Source organism: Homo sapiens, chromosome 7 (assembly GCF_000001405.40).
Source record: "Homo sapiens chromosome 7, GRCh38.p14 Primary Assembly".
Classification (NCBI taxonomy): domain Eukaryota; kingdom Metazoa; phylum Chordata; class Mammalia; order Primates; family Hominidae; genus Homo; species Homo sapiens.
In genome coordinates, this window is record NC_000007.14 from 16555572 (window position 1) to 16574109 (window position 18538).

General features: G+C 37.4%; 1 protein-coding gene across 2 annotated transcripts in view; it reads left to right on the forward strand.

Moving 5' to 3' along the window:
* The window catches only part of LRRC72 (leucine rich repeat containing 72), a 54744-nt gene that overhangs the window by 28747 nt on the left and 7459 nt on the right, over positions 1-18538 (forward strand). The window contains exons 4-8 of one of the 2 annotated variants that reach the window (XM_011515057.2): positions 1789-1870; positions 3318-3428; positions 10742-10831; positions 11820-11972; positions 12647-12739. In XM_011515057.2, coding sequence (XP_011513359.1) covers positions 1789-1870; positions 3318-3428; positions 10742-10831; positions 11820-11972; positions 12647-12739 — 529 coding nt within the window. The remainder of the gene's footprint in view (positions 1-1788; positions 1871-3317; positions 3429-10741; positions 10832-11819; positions 11973-12646; positions 12740-18538) is intronic. The other variant, NM_001195280.2, reaches the window with a different exon arrangement.

An 18538-nucleotide genomic window follows, 5' to 3' on the forward strand; every position in this document is an offset into this window, starting at 1 on the left:
AGACCAGCGTGGCCAACATAGTGAAACCCCATCTCTACTAAAAATAAAAAATTAGCTGGCTATGGCGGCATGTGCCTGTAGTCCCAGCTACTTGGGAGGCTGAGGTGGGAGAATCACTTGAACCTAGAACCCAGGAGGCAGAGGTTGCAGTGAGCTGAGATCGTGCCACTGCACTCCAGCCTGGGTGACAGAGACTCCATCTCAAAAAAAAAAAATTAATAGTTCCTATGATAAGCTTTAGAAAACACACAAACAAAGAATTTACAGTCAGGAACATATATTCTTGTATACATAAAGTACTAAATACTTGATCAATAACTCGTTCATGAGAATCTTTTCCCTGCTAGATCCTGTGTTAAATAGTAAAGGTATTATTCTTACATTTAACTTATTTGCAGTTATTAGAACATAACTGCTCCTCCTCTATGGCTCTACCATGTCTCAACTTCACAATGCAAATACATCTTTTAAATTTGATGGATGTTATAGAGTCAATACTAAAAAAAAAAAATAGGCGTTCTCCTTACAGGGTACCAGAATGATTTCTGACATACAGTTTAGCATTGAATACCCCATATTATGTATACAGTACCTAATGGTTCATTTGAGGAAATTCGAGAAAGTACTTTTTATTATTTCCATTCATATGGAATTTTGATTCTAACCTTAAAAGTAAGATGCGACTTCTTCACTATATTGTTAGGAGAGTAGGGAGGTAGAAAGGATAAGGTGCTGAAGAAACATGGTTCCTTTCCTTAAGGAACACCCAAAACTCTAGTGTTCAAGTGATTAACTGTACAAGTCAAAGTAAGCATTTGGGATGGTCAAGAAAATGGAGGTTCACGAGCATAGGAGTTGTCAGGAAAGGCTTTGTGAAAAAGGATGAACTCTGAATGATGAACAGGATTATACTGTGCCTTGCCCTCTAATTGCAGATGGTGACTGGTTGAGCTGTTAGCACTGCGCCTGATCTGGCAGAGCTGCCTCCTGTGTGTATTCAGATTACAGAGCCCATGGCTAAACTGAGATCTGTTTACTAGAAGGGCAGAGGACTAGAGAAGAGGAGATGGTTATACATGAGGCCATAAAGAAAGAGTCCAGGAAATCTGACTCAAAGTGCTGAAGCAGGTAGAAGTTTAGAGAAACAAAAAGTGGGTCAATAGGGCAAAAAGACAGTAAGTAGTAAGATACAAGGAGTTCAACCCTTGGTTTCAACAGATTTCTGCAAGTGAAAACGTACTGCGGCAGGCCACTCATGCACGGTTTAGTATGCCTTGCTGGCCGACAGCTAATCCTTAAAAATAATTTCGAGTGTACCAAGAAGAAAAGACATACAGGCAAAGGGAAATCATGACTCCTACAGATGCAGAAATGGCCTCGGCATAATCTAAGGGGAGAGCCCTTGGCACATGATAATATTAGGTGGTGGATATGTGGTGCTGGATCTAGTGAGAGTGTATGGAGCAGAAGTAGAAGAAATATTGTCAGCGCAAAAGGGCTAGGCCAGGTTACAGAGGTTTGGAAAGCCTAGCAAGCAAGTTTGGTTGAGATGTGGTAAGAGAGGTTTAAGTTAGATAAAAATATTCTTTTCATCACATTCTCCTCAAAGACAATCCAAATGTAACTTACAGCCAGACCAAAAGGTCACAAATAAGAATAGCAGAGGTCAAACTTTTATTATCTTATTATAATTAAATATATATTATTTATGTATATCAGGTTATTTATATTGATGTAATATATACAGTTATTATAGAAAGTATATTGTTCTCTAACTCTCATTTTTAGCTCCATGGAATAACATTTCTAACTAGAAACTATTGTCTGACAGAACTATATCTAAACAACAATGCAATATTTGAGATAGAAGGTACGTCTTAAATTCTCTGTTGATTTAATAAATTTTCAATTAAGTAATAACTTTCAACTATGGTAATTGCTAATGACAGACAAAAATCTGTTTTAACATTTCTGTTGAAAATATATTAAGAAATGTATTTTTTAAATGTTTTAATGTACATTTGATATTAAGAAATGTGCTATTAGATTACTTTTCTAATTTAATATTGCCATATATCTTATTCAAAATGTAAAATAATTTTAACAGGTATTTTAGACATAAACTAGGCATGTGGAAGCAAATTTTAACAATAGTTGGGAGCATTGATAAATACAAAAACTTTATAAATAGTCTTAAAATTTTTTATTGGCTATATGTTCTACCAGCCAAATTCCTGCTTTGACCCTGAATTAATTTTATATGCAAAACACTCTCAAAACTGATCATTTCAAGCCAGTTATAAAAGCATGTGGCATACCATGATCATGAAATACAAAGAAGCACAGTACAAAACACTTTTCTTTAATATCATATATCATAGAATCAAAATGTCTTAAATTTTAAGGCCCATCATGATGTCATGCACCGCTAAGAAAGAACATCTTGCCAACGAGGCTACGACATGGCTATCAAAAGGCACATCCCACTTTCATTTATGTTAAAAATGTGGGAAAATATACAATTTACAATCTATGAAAATGATTTGAATATTTGGCTTCCAGTTATGTACAGAAAATACTTAGCTATGCAATTTGGAGGAGATGAGTAATTTTTCCCTTGACTAGCATTATAAATCTAAGTAGCATTGACAAGGAAAAAAAACCCCAAAACTAAAACCAAACAAAAAGAAGAAAATAACCCCTCCAAAATCAATCAAACAAACAAAATCATTGCTACATTTTAAAAAGTAAAACAGGCCGGGCGCGGTGGCTCATGCCTGTAATCCCAGCAGTTTGGGAGGCCTAGGCGGGCAGATCACCTGAGGTCGGGAGTTCGAGACCAGCCTGGCCAACATGGTGAAACCCCCGTCTCTACTAAAAATACAAAAATGAGCTGGGCATGGTGGTGGACGCCTGTAATCTCAGCTACGTGGGAGGCTGAGGCAGGAGAATCCCTTGAACCCAGGAGGCGGAGGTTACAGTGACCCGAGATTGTGCCATTGCACTCCAGCCTGGGCAACAAGAGTGAAACTCCATCTCAAAAAATAAAAATAAAAAAAAGGAAAACAATGACAGTGGAAAGAAATTTACTCTTTATTCCCACATCACAATTAATTATATGAATTATGCCTTATTGTATTCTTAATAATAATTTATAATATATTATTAATAGTTATTCCTTCTTTAACCAGCTATCATATGTTTTCCTTTTTAGTTAGCATGTTAATTAGCATTAAAAATGTTTATTTTTATTTGCAATAAAAAAATAAACTGAAAAAAATGTTTAAAATCTTGTAAAAATATTCTGTTTTTTTTAGGTCTGCATTATTTGCCTTCATTGCATATACTCCTGCTACACCACAATGAGCTAACCAACATTGATGCAACAGTGAAGGAATTAAAGGGAATGCTAAATCTGAAGATCCTAAGTAACAATTTGCAATTTTATATGGCCATAAGTTAAAATAGTATTAACATAAGACATTTTTCCATTTATCAAGTTTAAAATTAGAGAGGCAATGTTTATAATTAAGATATTTAGGCTGGGCACTGTGACTCACGCCTGTAATCTCAGTGCTTAGGCAGGCTGAGGTGGGCGGATCACTTGAGCCCAGGAGTTCAACACCAGCCTGAGCAACATGGCAAAACCCTGCCTCTACCAAAAATACAAAAATTAGCCAGGCCTGGTGGCGTATGCCTGTAATCCCAGCTACTTGAGAGGCTGAGGCGGGAGGATCACTTGAACCCAGGAGGCAGAGGTTGCAGTGAGCCAAGATCGCGCCACTGGACTCTATCCTGGGTAACAGAGCAAGACCCTGTCTCAGAAAAAAAAAAAATTAGATATTCCTGAAAATAAGGCTAGATCTTATTGTCTTTTAAGATACGCTTTTGAAAAAACAACAGATAGAAAAATTTTTGTTTGTGAAATGCTATCTATCACATGGCTAATGAAAATGACAAAAGTAGCAAGAGGATTTACATGTTTAAATTTGTTTTTGGTTTTATCTCAAAAGTAAGTTTTAACACATATGATTCCATTTATGTAAGTGTCCAAGTAGGCACATCTATAGGGACAGCAACACCGAGAGGTAACTGTTTTTAAATAGATGAGTGTTGCCAACGGCCAAGGAACTGGGAGTTGTGACAGCTAGAGAGTAAAGGGTGTGGGGTTATTTTGGGGGTGATAAAACATACTAAAATTGACTGTGGTGATAAGTTGCATAACTTTGTGAATAAACCACAAACACACAAATCATATGTTTAAGCTGGGTGAACAGTGTGATACATAAAGTATATTAATAAAGCTGATACCAAAAAAAAAAAACTAAAAGACTTTTTAAGCTTTCAACTGGAGGCCCAGCAAACTTTATTCATATATATTGAATCACACCCAGTAAGGAACTAACCTATTGGAAAGAAGTGTGAGATGAGTCAAAAATAAATAAATAATACACCACTCCTACTCTCAATAAACTTATGGTCTTGAAGGGTAAATAAACATGTATACAACCACAATACAAGATAAAGGATTCTGGGTGTACTGAGGTAAAAGACCTACAGATCAACGAGTAGGTTTTCAGACTTTAGAGTTTAGAGACCTCTTTATAATAATGTAACGCAATAGATATATTTTTTAATTCCTTTTCTATTCATTTCTCAGAATTGCCTGAGACAGTGTTTTGAACAGTTGTAAGCTAGTATTGATGGTGAAAGTTCTAATCAGATAAATGTACAGAGAGTTACTAAGGTTTCCATATATTGTTAGTGTTATCAGTTATATCTACTGTACTGAGGGAAAATGATTCATTTGTTATAGTTAGATTCTTTAAACCCAAGTATTAAAATCACAAAATTACACCAAGTTCATGGCAATTTTATGCTTATTTTGGAGACGTGAGAAGGCTGCCTGCTGTCAGGAGTTTTTTTCACAGCTTTTGGATCTTCTGTGAAAGAATTGGCCTGCATATTTGAGTCACCTGGCCCCTGTCTGCTGGAAAAATGCTGCTATAATTAAAAGACTAGTTATGCTAGACCTAGAACACTTACCTTTGTTTTTCTATAAAATGGGCTGATAGCTACCTCTCAGGGTTGCTTCAAACATTAAGATAACTCTGTTTTTTTTTTTTAAGAAAACGTTTCTCACCATTAATGTTATTTTGAAGCAACAACAAAAATTGAAATTCTAAAAAAAGAAAAAAATTGTTTTATTGTGGATTATGTAAATCAGATAATGAAATAAATTGCATCCAGTCTCGAAATTCTGCTAATAGACTCAATAAAACGATATTTTAAATAATAATCATATAGTAATATGTTTGAATGTCTTTCCTGTTAAAAAAATGATTTATTATAGTCGCATTTAAATCTTTACAGCATCCTATGATGTGATTAGAATTACTCCCTTTAATCATGGAAATGAAAAGCTCAGAGATTTAACCAAACTCCTAAGGAGTGTTGAAACATAAACTCATGCCTTGTTTTACTTATCATTTATTTATTCATTCATTCAATAAATATTTATAATCTATTCATTCATTCATTTAATAAATGTTTATCACACATTCACTACATGACACTATTCTAGATAATAGGACTCAAATTTGAACAAGAAAGACCCAGTCTATACCTATATAGGGCTTACAAATTAGTAACACTCAGCCTAAATATTTCTTAGAGTCGAAGGGGTCTAATGCAAAATGATTTAATTTGCTACTTTAAAAACTCTATAATTTAAGGAAACTTGTTATAAAACAACATTTGGAGAGTGGTAAACAAGCTTACTCCCACAGTAATAAACAGAGTTATGCCCATAGTAATAAATAAGGTTATACCCTAAACAAAGGTGCCCAGCCCAGGACTGAATGGATCCTGAAATCCAGCCCATGCCCTGCTTGTCAAGGGTGTATGTGAGTGTAGAATTGTGCCAGGCATGAGGAGTGGGAATTTTCTAGTTTTTAAATACCAGCCTGGTAGTACAATGTCCATATCATTACCAGTCACAATAGTTTACGACCACTACTTAAAATCACAGTGACGTATTTCAAGTTACATAACTATAACTTTCCAGTTGAGAATCTTGTTGTGGGGTCATTTGTTTGAAATGGAGAAAATGCTATGTCCAATTACAAAAAACAAAAAGCATTTTCTAAAAATTCACATTTTGAACTCATGTTCCATTTTGGTTAAAGATATTGTATGAAAAATAGTTTGTATTTATTAGACAACTAACGTTATTTGTGCAGTCATGTCCTCAGATTAAGTTTCTATGAGCCTCATTTGCAATCACAGATTAGCTTTAGCTGATAAACTAAAATGAGAACTCTATGTATTTTCAAATGTAGTCATTTTTGTCTTTTTAAGTTGTAAATCCATATAAAATTATAAAGTGTTATTATTCCACTTAAATTACAAGTTCTTCAGAGGGTGAGAAAATAGCCTGAAGGGCAAAACGCTAATCCATTCTCAGCATCGCACCTTCCATTGGCATTTATGAGGAGAATTGCCAAGGACTGCCTAGGAGACGCATGGCTGAGAGCTTCAGGGAGGCCTAAACCAGCTGCAGAGTGTGAGGTCCTGGGAACTGGAATTCCTGTCTTCAGGCAGAGTCAGGGGGCCCCACCTCTTCTCTCTAGGCAGTCTACCTTTCCACACCCTCTCTTTCTAGCTCAGTTTTCCTCTTCCCTTCCCTCCTCCAAACTCTTTCTAAATCAGAATCCACATGTGTCAAAGACCCACTTTGTGGCTGATGGCTTTTATTAACTCCTGCCCCCTTTCCAGTACTAAGGGAAAAAAACCACCGCCACCAAAAGCCGCAGCAACAAAATGCTTAATCCACTCTCCTGTTCTAAACCTTCAGTTTTCTCGTTTCTTTCTAATTTTCTGTTTTATTAAACTCCACTGTTGGAAAGTATGCTTAAGACTCCTGCATGCCATAATTGTTAAGACCTGCTTCCTACCGGAGCTTCCAGGAATCAGCCTTGGGAACAGGGAGTTCCTCCTTTCGAGAGAGGGTCTCCATGTTTCCACAGGTATTGCCTTTAAACACTTCCTGCCGTTGTCTTCAGCAGTGGCCCCAATCCACTGCCCATGGCAAAAAGCCAGGGGAGCAGAGGGATTCTGGGATACGGGGAGGGACTAGGATCTCCAGGGTCCCTTCCTTTGAGCCTCTTTTCCTATAATGCCCTTCCAGGTGGGACCACCCCTCCCAAAAGACAAAACAATTCACCAAAGGAAAAGAACCAACAGTGTTTTTCACCACTGTTTGTCCTGAAAAAGAGGATATTCTGATCCCTCCTCTCTCGATCCTCTGCTTTATCGTAGTTTGCCTTTTACAATCAGGGGTGATTTCCATATTCAGTAAAAAGCACATGGTGTGTGGTGGCCACCAGATTTTTAGTTAAAACAAGATGGTGATTAACAATGGAGATGCTGACCTTACTAAGTAACCTTGACCCGGAGCCTCACAATCCTCCTATCTGATTATTGACAGCTGAACTTCCTTCCACAGGCCGTTCTCTATAGGCTTTTAACTTCTCCATGTCATTTTCTTTTTCCCATATATTAAAATTGGGATGTTGGTCTCTTATTAATTACATCAACTTTCTTCGAAGGCAGCCTTAAAAACATTGGGGTTCATTTAAATAATGATTTTAAATTCTGCTTTAAAAGTTTACAAAAAAATAACTGGAGCCAATTATTTAGATGGCTTTTTTTTTTCCTCTTCTGTCTCGATAATAAGTAGCTTCATACACGTGACTCCTGTAAGCCAAGCTTGTGCGGTAAGGTAGTAGAGACATTTTGATATATCATTGGGTAAATGTAAATTGCTTAGACTCAGAATCCCAAATTAAGATAAGCAAGACAGTGCTGGCGCCACTGAGGTATACTCTGTAAGTAGCCTAGAGGGAAGGTGGATTAAATAGTATTAACCTATTGAAAGTGAAAGTGTAAGCAATTTCTCTTCATGGTTTCTAAAAGAATGTGCCCATACATCATAGAAGGCTTTCAGAACATTCAGAAACAGGAAACTGATTTCACATCTTAGACATTTAATTTATGTTGATTTTAGCAGCATCAATCCAAAACTCATAAATCCAAAATGTTAAATGTTTAATAGTATAGAAGGAAAAAATAGAGTTAAAAATATGATTGCTTCTTCTAAAATTTAAGAGATAGGAAACAGTGAATAATAATGATGAAATGCCTGTCAAGTTATTTAACTCAATTTTTAAAGTTAATTTAAGCAGAGGATGGGCTAACAGTTCAGTTTTCTGATTTCGTGTCATTCAGTTTTTACTTTAGGATGAGATGAATGGTCAACCACAAGTCCATAGAGTTTTTAGTATCAATATGTTGCTAATAAGTAATGTAACAGTAGTAAATCCAAGTTTGGTGTTTTATTCAGCTGAAGCTAGTTTTTAAATTTCCATATAGAAGTTACTTAACCAAGGATTAGCAGAAAAACCCAAGAAATGAAATGAAATGGATAGTAATGTCCTCAGAGGGGAAAGAGAAGACGAAGGGTACACCTAGAGAAAACGTCATTGAAAGATGTTGGTATATTTTCCATTAACGTCATATGTAAAGGCAGACTCTACTTCCAGATGCTATAATGTATAACAGGGTTATGAGGTGTCAGATGTGATTCCCCAAGACAGTAACCACAAAGCAGACTTCTGTACTAAAGCATCTGTGACTTTTTCTTCCTTCTGAGTTCTCATTAGAAACAATTGTGTTTTGCTTTTATATCCTTGAAGAGGGTCCTTTTCTTTACTTTCTCTGGCTCGAACTACAATTCATGATCCCAATGGCTCTTTTATTAGTGGTTTAATATACATCTGTTCTATTCCCTGTCCTGCAGTTATAATTATTTGTTACCACTTTAAAATCCTTCTCTTTCAAGAATAAAATTCAGACCATTTTCTGTCATTTAAGAAATCTTGAAAAAAAAAAAGTTTTATTTTTCTTCTCATTTTCTCCATTACTTACATATTTCCTTTCTTTTAAATTTCTTTGTGGCTCCTGGCTCTACATTTTCCTGTATGCCTTTCCTCACTCCTGTAACTTTTGTTTATTATGTACCAGGTGTCTTCCATTGCCTGCTTTATGTCCCTCTAAAGCTCGCGTTTTCCACAGGGAATAGCTATATATAACGCTTTTATTAGCCAGAAAAAGTTGTGTTTATACAACAAATATCAGAATGCTTTATTACTACAGAGAAAACATCCAGATGATTGATTTTTTTTTTTTAGTTTTTATCTAGCTTGTTATCTTTTAAGCATGCACCTACCCCAATCTTCTTTATGTTACAAACTGCTCTTTAGAAATATTAATCAGTTTTTTCCGAGTTTCTAATGCTTACTATTTTCATGCCTTTATCAAACCTGTATTTTATGAATAGTCTACAACAGTACTCTTAAATTTCACATGTACATTAAGTGAGCTTCATTTTATTGAGTGAAGGAGTTGTGCGGTAGCTGGAGCTCTTTCTACTACTGCCATCTAGTGGTTCTCCTTATTAGGTGTATTTTCAGAAGAATTTCCTAGAAATTGCATGTAGGTAGGTGGAATCCGAATAACTAAAGATTACTGGCCAGGTGCGGTGGCTGATGCCTGTATTTTGGGAGGCCAAGGTGGGCGGATCACGAGGTCAGCAGTTCGAGACCAGCCTTGCCAACATGGCGAAACTCCGTCTCTACTAAAAATACAAAAATTAGCCAAGCGTGGTGGCAGGCGCCTGTAATCCCAGCTACTCAGGAGGCTGAATCAGGACAATTGCTTGAACCCGGGAGGCAGAGGTTGCAGTGAGCAAGATCATGCCATTGCGCTCCAGCCTGGCAACAAGAACAAGACTCTGTCAAAAAAAAAAAAAAATGCCCAACTGAAAATCATTAAAGTTTTATTTCACATTGTATTGAAAAAATATGTTTATTATCATCTAGGATGAATAGGGAAAATATCTTTTTTTAAAAATAAAGCCCTCACAACTTCTAGTTGAGGATGTTTAAAAACATAACTATGTGCTGATTCCCAAGGGATATGATGTCAAAAGTGCCAGGGCTGCTTCTGCATCCACATGCCCCCTTCTTCCAACCACTGCATTAGGAAGTGCGGTTTATCACACATCCTAGCACCTGCACACCAGGATCTCAGAACTGCACGTGCCTGGCCAGAGGTAGACAAGATGCAAGAGCCACTTCTGCTCAGCTCTGGTCCTGCTGAGATCTGAAGCTACTATTGACACATTCTGAACTATGAGCAATGGTGTGGAGGAAGTAAGTTCTATTAGAGCCGGGTGTTGTGTCTCTGCCTATCTTCACACATGCACCCTTGTGAACTTGGAGACTGAAAGAAGAGTACCAAGTGATATTTTAATAAAAAGTAGCCTCAAGACTCCAATAGAGCTGATATCTAGTTCTTCATTTACTAACTTATTTATGGACATGTTAAAAATTTCCCTCATTTGTTGCAGACTTGGGTCAATGATTTGATCATAGCCCTTAGCACAGTTCCTAGTGGATAGTAAGCACTTGGTAAATATTTGTTGAATGAATGAATTTAACAGATAGAAAAATTAACTGGTGCTCTAAGTAAAGGTTTAATGGGTCTATTGCTTGATATGGAGAAGAGCTTTACAAGTTCTTATGTTTTATACGAATCTCTTAATTTTTTGTATTTTATAAGTGATAAGTGAAACTGATTTTGAAATCTGACATTTTTATTTTGGATTCTTCATTTGCAGGTCTATACCAAAATCCTTTGTGCCAATATAACCTGTATCGTTTATATATCATCTACCACCTTCCAGGAGTGGAGCTGCTTGACCGAAATCGTAAGGACCCTTCCTTCTTGCAAAGAAATATTTGAGAAGTAGTCTTATAGCTCAGCGGTTTAAAAACGAAGACTACCTTTGAAAATATGTCTTTGTAAAAAATATATCTTTGAATAATTGTCTTTTTAATGGAAGTTTTTCAATTATTTATTTTTGAAAGACTTGCTCTCTAAAATTTGCCCTAATTTAGAAATTCATGTCTCTTTACTACTTTATTAGAAAGGCCCTCTAACTGAGCTGAGGAAAGTATTCCTTCTGGTCCTGGTTTTGACATTAACAGGTTGGATGCCAAATCGTTTACTTCCTGGCACCTTAGTTTCTTATCTCAAAAGTGAGGGAATTGGAATAAATCTCATAAGGCCAGTTTAAGTTCTAAAAGTCGTGATTTAAAAATTCTGTAAATATATATATATTGAAACATACAATGAATGATGACTTCTTTATGAATACATCTTCAAGATAGCATGTCAGATTTCTATAAGCCACATGCACACACACACACAATCAACCTCAGCATATTACACTTAACATTTTTTGAGGCCTATTTTGCCCCCAAATGCTATATTATCTATCTACTTACCTTTCTGTCTCTGCAGGTTTGAACATTCTTAATAGTTTATTACTGAGTAACCACTTTCTATAGGATACATCGGAAACTTATGGTTATACCTCTCCTTTCTAATAGCCTTGAGGAAATGAAAGGATGTTTCATGCTAAAATTTTAATCATCCTTGGTGATGTGTTAAAGGGTGTTTGGGATGCATTAGATTGAAGGATTAAGCTCTGTCTTGTGACATGTGGGGTGTATATTGAGTGCTTGTAAGATTATGGAAATAAGCGTGATAGCCCCTTTACAAAACAGTTTTGACAGGATGTTCTCATATATCATAGTTTAGATAAATACATTCTTGAAAGTGTTCAGTTCTATTTTGAATCACTCCGCCTATTTATAATGTTATGCAATAACATTACTTTTTGCATTTATCAGAAGTTACAGAAAAAGAAAGAAGATCAATGATTACCATTTTTAACCATAAAAAGGCTCATATCGTTCAATCAATAGCATTCGGAGGAAAAGTGGATGCTTCATGGGATCCTAAATCACCATTTAAGCAAAAACCAGCCCAGAGAGTACCTTCAGGTATTTCGTAAAAAAAAAAAAAAAAACAAATTTAATGAAATTAAAACTCCTCAAACTTTTGGGTAATTTGATTGTAATAATAACAACTACAATTTACAATAAACTTAAGTATCTATGTAATGGAATAATTTCTAATATATTTGCTAACCTTATAATACTTTTAGTCCAGTTAAAGTAGGTATGCAATTTTCATCCTCACTCATGCATGTGAAATTAAATGGGGTGCTGTGATAATAACGAGATAATACATTGAAGCCTCTATCCCAGTACCTAACACAGTATAAAGGGCTCAATAAATAAGCCATTGTTATTTTTATTACCACTAACATGGATGATTTTACCAATTAAGTCTATATAATTTTTGATAATATAGAAAAAACATGAAGAAGAAATAAAGATCATCTGCAATTCTACCATGCAGAAATAAGCACTGGTAATATTTTGATTATACTCACATACAGGGTCATTATATGCAAGTATAACTTGAATATTTTCAGGATGTTTCATTTGTAGGAATTTAATTTCATATTTGTAACAGAAATGCAAAAAAAAATAGGGGTTTAGTTTTCTCAGACAGCAAAGAATAGAAAGATAGGGTATCTAGGGTTAGCATAAAGTTCTACAATGTTGTCACTGTTCAAGGATATATCTGTCTTTTGTTCTGCTACTCTTAGTGTGCTTTATGATTACAAGGTGGCTGGTGTACCCCCAAGCCTCACATCTCCATTCCACGAAGGAAGAGAGGGTGGATAAGAAAAGGTGCAAAGGTAAAATCCTTTTCTTTATGACACTTCGCCAAAGAGACAACATACATTTTTAAAAAACCAAACCAATTATCTAGAAATAAAGGGGAAATTGAATTAAAAAATAGTTTGGAAGAAATTACCCAGAATGCTAAATGGAGAAAGAAAGCAATAGAAGATATGAATTAGATATTGAGAAAAGGAGAGACATTAGAAAGAGAAGGTCCAATATAACTTCAGTAATAGTTCCTGAAAAACAAATTATAGATAGAAATTGAGCAGAAGGTAATGTTTAAAGTGATAATGGCTGGAAATTTTCCCAAACTGATAAATAAATTCTTAGACTGACCAGACAATTACCAGAATTGGCAAAGAATTCTTAGATGCACCAGACAAAATGAATCCAAACACAAAAAAGACACATAACAACAACAACAACAACAAGAGTCTTCACCAAAGGCAAAACCATCTTAAAGCAGTCGGAGAGAAAACCCAGATGACCTACAAAAGAATAACACAGAGATTCACAACAGACTCTCCAACTACAATCGTGGAAGTCAAAAAACAGTGATCGAAAGTTTTTAAAATGCTGAGGACAAGTAATGGCCAACCAAGAATTTTATAACCAACTCAATTATTATTCAAGAATGAGCGAAAGGTAAAGGAAAAGAAAAAGAAGAATGAGGACAAAATTAAGACTTCCCTGAACTTTTTATTGTGAAAATTTTCTAACAGGAAAAGTTAAAGAATATTAAAATAAATATTGGTATATGCCCACATATATTCAACAAGTGTTCATATTCTGCTATATTTACCGCCCTCCATATCTGACGCTTTGCCTCTTTATTTAAGGACAGGTGGCCAGGTGCGGTGGTTCACACCTGTAATCCCAGCACTTTGGGAGGCCGAGGCGGGCAGATCACCTGAGGTCGGGAGTTTAAGACCAGCCTGACCAACATGAAGAAACCCCATCTCTACTAAAAACAAAAATTAGCCAGGCATGGTGGCACATGCCTGTAATCCCAGCTACTCAGGAAGCTGAGGCAGGAGAATCACTTGAACCTGGGAGGCGGAGGTTGCAGTGAGCCATTGCACTCTAGCCTGGGCAACAAGAGCGAAACTCCATCTTAAAAAACAAAAAAACAAGGACAGGTCTCCTCAGAAGACCTTAGAAGTCATTCCTAAATGAATGACTTACACTGCATTTGGCATTTCCAACTACAGTGTAAATTGGAAAATCAATGTATTGCCAAAGGATTAAAATGTTTCAGCAGCAGACATCATTACATTTCACTCCTGTCAACCTAAAAAAAGACATCAGAGAAAAATATCTCTTAAGATAATGAATTTATTTGGGAGTAAGCAAAAAGAATTATAACCCAGGATGCACAGCTATGGCAAGCCACAGGTGCAAGAGAGGAAGGGAAGGGAAGGGAAGGAAGCTTTTTATTTGGGAAAAAGTGGCCAGGCGTGGTGGCTCAAGCCTGTAATCCCAGCACTTTGGGAGGCCGAGGCAGGCAGATCATTTGAGGTCAGGAGTTTGAGACCAGCCTGGACAACATGGCAAAACCCAGTCTCTATTAAAAATGCAAAAATTATCTGGGTGCAGTGATGGCACCTGTAATTCCAGCTACTTAGGAGGCTGAGGCAGGAGAATCGCTTGCACCTGGGAGGTGGAGGTTGCAGCGAGCCGAGATCACGCCATTGCACTCCAGCCTGGGCAACAGAGGGAGATTCCTTCTCAAAAAAGAAAAGAAAAAAAAAAAAGAATTCACATAAGCCTCTTGGAAGCACAGTTCATTGATTCCAGAGGCCCAAAGCTACGAGTTCATTGGTGGAGATTCTGTTACTAGGCAAATGTTCTTTTGAGAGGATCTTATCTGAATTGTTGAGTCCTAAAGAATGTATAGTGATAAACTTGGTCATAGAAATGTGTGCATACATGAGAAATGTAGGTTATGACAAACATGAGTTGTGTGCAGGACACAAAATAATGTATTGTGGGGGTTATTTTGGAATGCCCTTGAGACAGGTCTTATCAGACATGCAAGCATGAGCTCTCCTTACTGCCTTCTGGCTCCAATTTGTTTGATTCTGACAAGAGTGATTTCATCCTGGTATCTGCAACTTTCACACTTTTAAATAATTTAGACTGAAAGTTTAAAAATAAGGACATTTTCCTGTTAACCATAATGTCACTCTCACACCTTAGAAAAAAACTGGTTTGTTTATATTACTTAAAATATAACTCGCCAGGCGTGGTGGCTCATACCTGTAATCCCAGCACTTTGGGAGGGCTAGGTGGGCGGATCACCTGAGGTCAGGAGTTTGAGACCAGCCTGGCCAACATGACAAAACCCCATCTCTACCAAAAAATACAAAAATTAGCTGGGTTTGGTGGCGAGCACCTGTAATCCCAGCTACTCAGGAGGCTGAGGTATGAGAATCGCTTGAACCCAGGAGGTGGAGGTTGCAGTGAGCCAAGATCACACCACTGCACTCCAACAGAACGAGACCCTCTCTCAAAACAAACAAACAAACAAAAAACCCATATTCACATTTTCTCAATTGTTCCAAAAAGGTTTCTACAGTGCTTTTTCAAACCAGAATCTAGTCAAGATTCACAATTAGATTTTTTATGCTCTTCAGTGTCTTTTAATTTAGAAGAGATTCCCTGGTTTTTGTTTCTGTTTTTTTTTTTTTCTTCCATGACTTTTTGAAGAGAACAGGCCAGTTATACTGTAGAATGCCTCAATTTTAAATTACTTCCTTAAGGTGTCATTCGATTTGTTCCTTTATTCCTAGTATTTCCCATAGAATGAAAGTAACATCCATAGGACATGTTGTAGGTGCAGAGGAGCATAGTGTAAGGCAGTGGCTTTCAGAGTGTAAAACAAAAATGGAATTCTAAGGCCCGTCAATCATCTGAATGACCCTTCCTCTTGGCCAAGAGCATTCCAAGTTAACCTGAAAAATTTGTTCAGGCCGTGAGGGAAGGGGGCTCCGGACATGCCTCCTTATACCCCCCTCCCTTTTGGAATTCAGGAAAAGCCAACCAGCATTAACATCAACACAGATATTAAGTCTGATAAATATTTACGGTTGTGGTGGCCGGCAAGATGGCCGAATAGGAACAGCTCCAGTCTGCAACTCTGAGCGAGATCCACACAGAAGGCGAGTGATTTCTGCATTTCCAACCGAGGTACCTGGCTTACCTCACTGAGATGGGTTAGACAATGGGTGCAGCCCACGGAGGGACAGCCAAAGCAGAATGGGGTGTCGCCTCACCCGGGAAGTGCAAAGGGTTGGAGAACTTCCTCCCCTATCCAAGGGAAGCCATGAGGGACTGTGCCTTGGGGAACGGAGCTATCCGGCCCAGATACTACACTTTTCCCATGGTCTTCACAACCCTCAGACTAGGACATTCCCTTGGGTGCCTACACCACCAGGGCCCTGGGTTTCAAGCACAAAACTGGGCGGCCATTTGGGCAGACACCGAGTTAGATGCAGGAGGTCTTTTTTCATACCCCAGTGGCACCTGGAATGCCAGAGAGACAGAACTGTTCAGTCCCCTAAAAAGGAGTCTGAAGCCAAGGAGCCAAGTGGTCTAGCTCAGCGGATCCCACCCCGACAGAGCCCAGCAAGCTAAGATCCACTGGCTTGAAATTCTCCTTGCCAGCACAACAGTCTGAAGTCGACCTGGGTCGCCCGAGCTTGGTGGGGGGAGGGGCATCTGCCAAAACAGAAGCTTGAGTAGGTGGTTTTCCCCTCACAGTGTTAACAAAGCCGCCAGGAAGTTCAGACTTCAGGACTAAACCAGGAAGAACTCAAATCCCTGAACAGACCAATAACAAGTTCTGAAATTGAGGCAGTAATTAATAGCCTGCCAACCACAAAAGCCCAGGACCAGATGTATTCACAGCTGAGTTCTACCAGAGGTACAAAGAGGAGCTAGTACCATTCCTTCTGGAACTATTTTAAACCATAGAAAAAGAGGAACTCCACCCTAACTCATTTTATGAGGCCAGCATCATCCTGATACCAAAACCTGGCAGAGACACAACAACAAAAAATTCCAGGCCAATATCCCTGACGAACATCAGTGCAAAAATCCTCAATAAAATACTGGCAAACTGAATCCAGCAGCACATCAAAAAGCTTATCCACCATGATCAAGCCAGCTTCATCCTTGGGATGCAAGGCTGGTTCAACATATGCAAATCAATAAATGTAATCCATCGCATAAACAGAACCAATGACAAAAACCACATGATTATCTCAATAGATGCAAAAAGGCCTTCAATAAAATTCAACACCCCTTCATGCTAAAAATCCTCAATAAACTAGGTATTGAAGGAACATATATCAAAATAATAAGAGCTATTTATGACAGACCCACAGCCAATATCATACTGAATGGGCAAAAACTGGAAGCATTCCCTTTGAAAACTGGCACAAGACAAGGATGCCCTCTCTCACCACTCCTATTCAACATAGTATTGAAAGTTCTGGCCAGGGTAATCAGGCAAGAGAAAGAAATAAAATGTATTCAAATAGGAAGAGAGGAAGTCAAACTGTCTCTGCTTGCAGATGACATGATTACATATTTAGAAAACCCCATTGTCTCAGCCCAAAATCTCCTTAAGCTGATAAACAACTTCAGCAAAGTCTCAGGACACAAAACCAATGTGCAAAAATCACAAGCATTCCTATACACCAATAATAGACAAACAGAGAGCCAAATCATGAGTGACTCCCATTCACAATTGCTACAAAGAGAATAAAATACCTAGGAATACAAATTATAAGGGATGTGAAGGACCTCTTCAAGGAGAACTATAAACCACTGCTCAAGGAAATAAGAGAAGACACAAACAAATGGAAAAACATTCCATGTTCATGGATAGGAAGAATCACTATCGTGAAAATGGCCATACTGCCCAAAGTAATTTACAGATTCAATGCTATCCTCATCAAGCTACCATTGACTTTCTTCACAGAATTGGAAAAAAACTACTTTAAATTTCATATGGAACCAAAAAAGAGCCTGTATAGCCAAGACAATTCTAAGCAAAAAGAACAAAGCTGGAGGCAACACACTGCCTGATTTCAAACTATACAACATGCCTACAGTAACCAAAACAGCATGGTACTTGTACCAAAACAGATATATAGACCAATGTAACAGAACAGAGGCCTCAGAAATAATGCCACACATCTACAACCATCTGATCTTTGACAAACCTGACAAACACAAGCAATGGGGAAAGGATTCCCTATTTAATAAGTGGTGTTGGGAAAACTGGCTAGCCATATGCAGAAAACTGAAACTGGACCTCTTCCTTACACTTTATACAAAAATTAACTCAAGATGGATTAGAGACTTAAATGTGAGACCTAAAACCATAAAACCCTAAAAGAAAACTTAGGCAATACCATTCAGGACATAGGCATGGGCAAAGACTTCATGACTAAAACACCAAAAGCAATGGAAACCAAAGCCAATATTGACAAATGGGATCTAATTAAACTAAAGAGCTTCTGCACAGCAAAAGAAACTGTCATCAGAGTGAATAGGCAACCTACAGAATAGGAGAAAATTTTTTCAATCCATCCATCTGATGAAGGGCTAATATCCGGAATCTACAAGGAACTGAAACAAATTTGCAAGAAAAACACAACCTCATCAAAAAGTGAGTGAAGCATATGAACAGGCACTTCTCAAAAGAAAACATTTATGCAGCCAACAAACATACGAAAAAAAGCTCATCATCACTGGTTATTAGAGAAATGCAAATAAAAACAACAATGAGATACCAACTC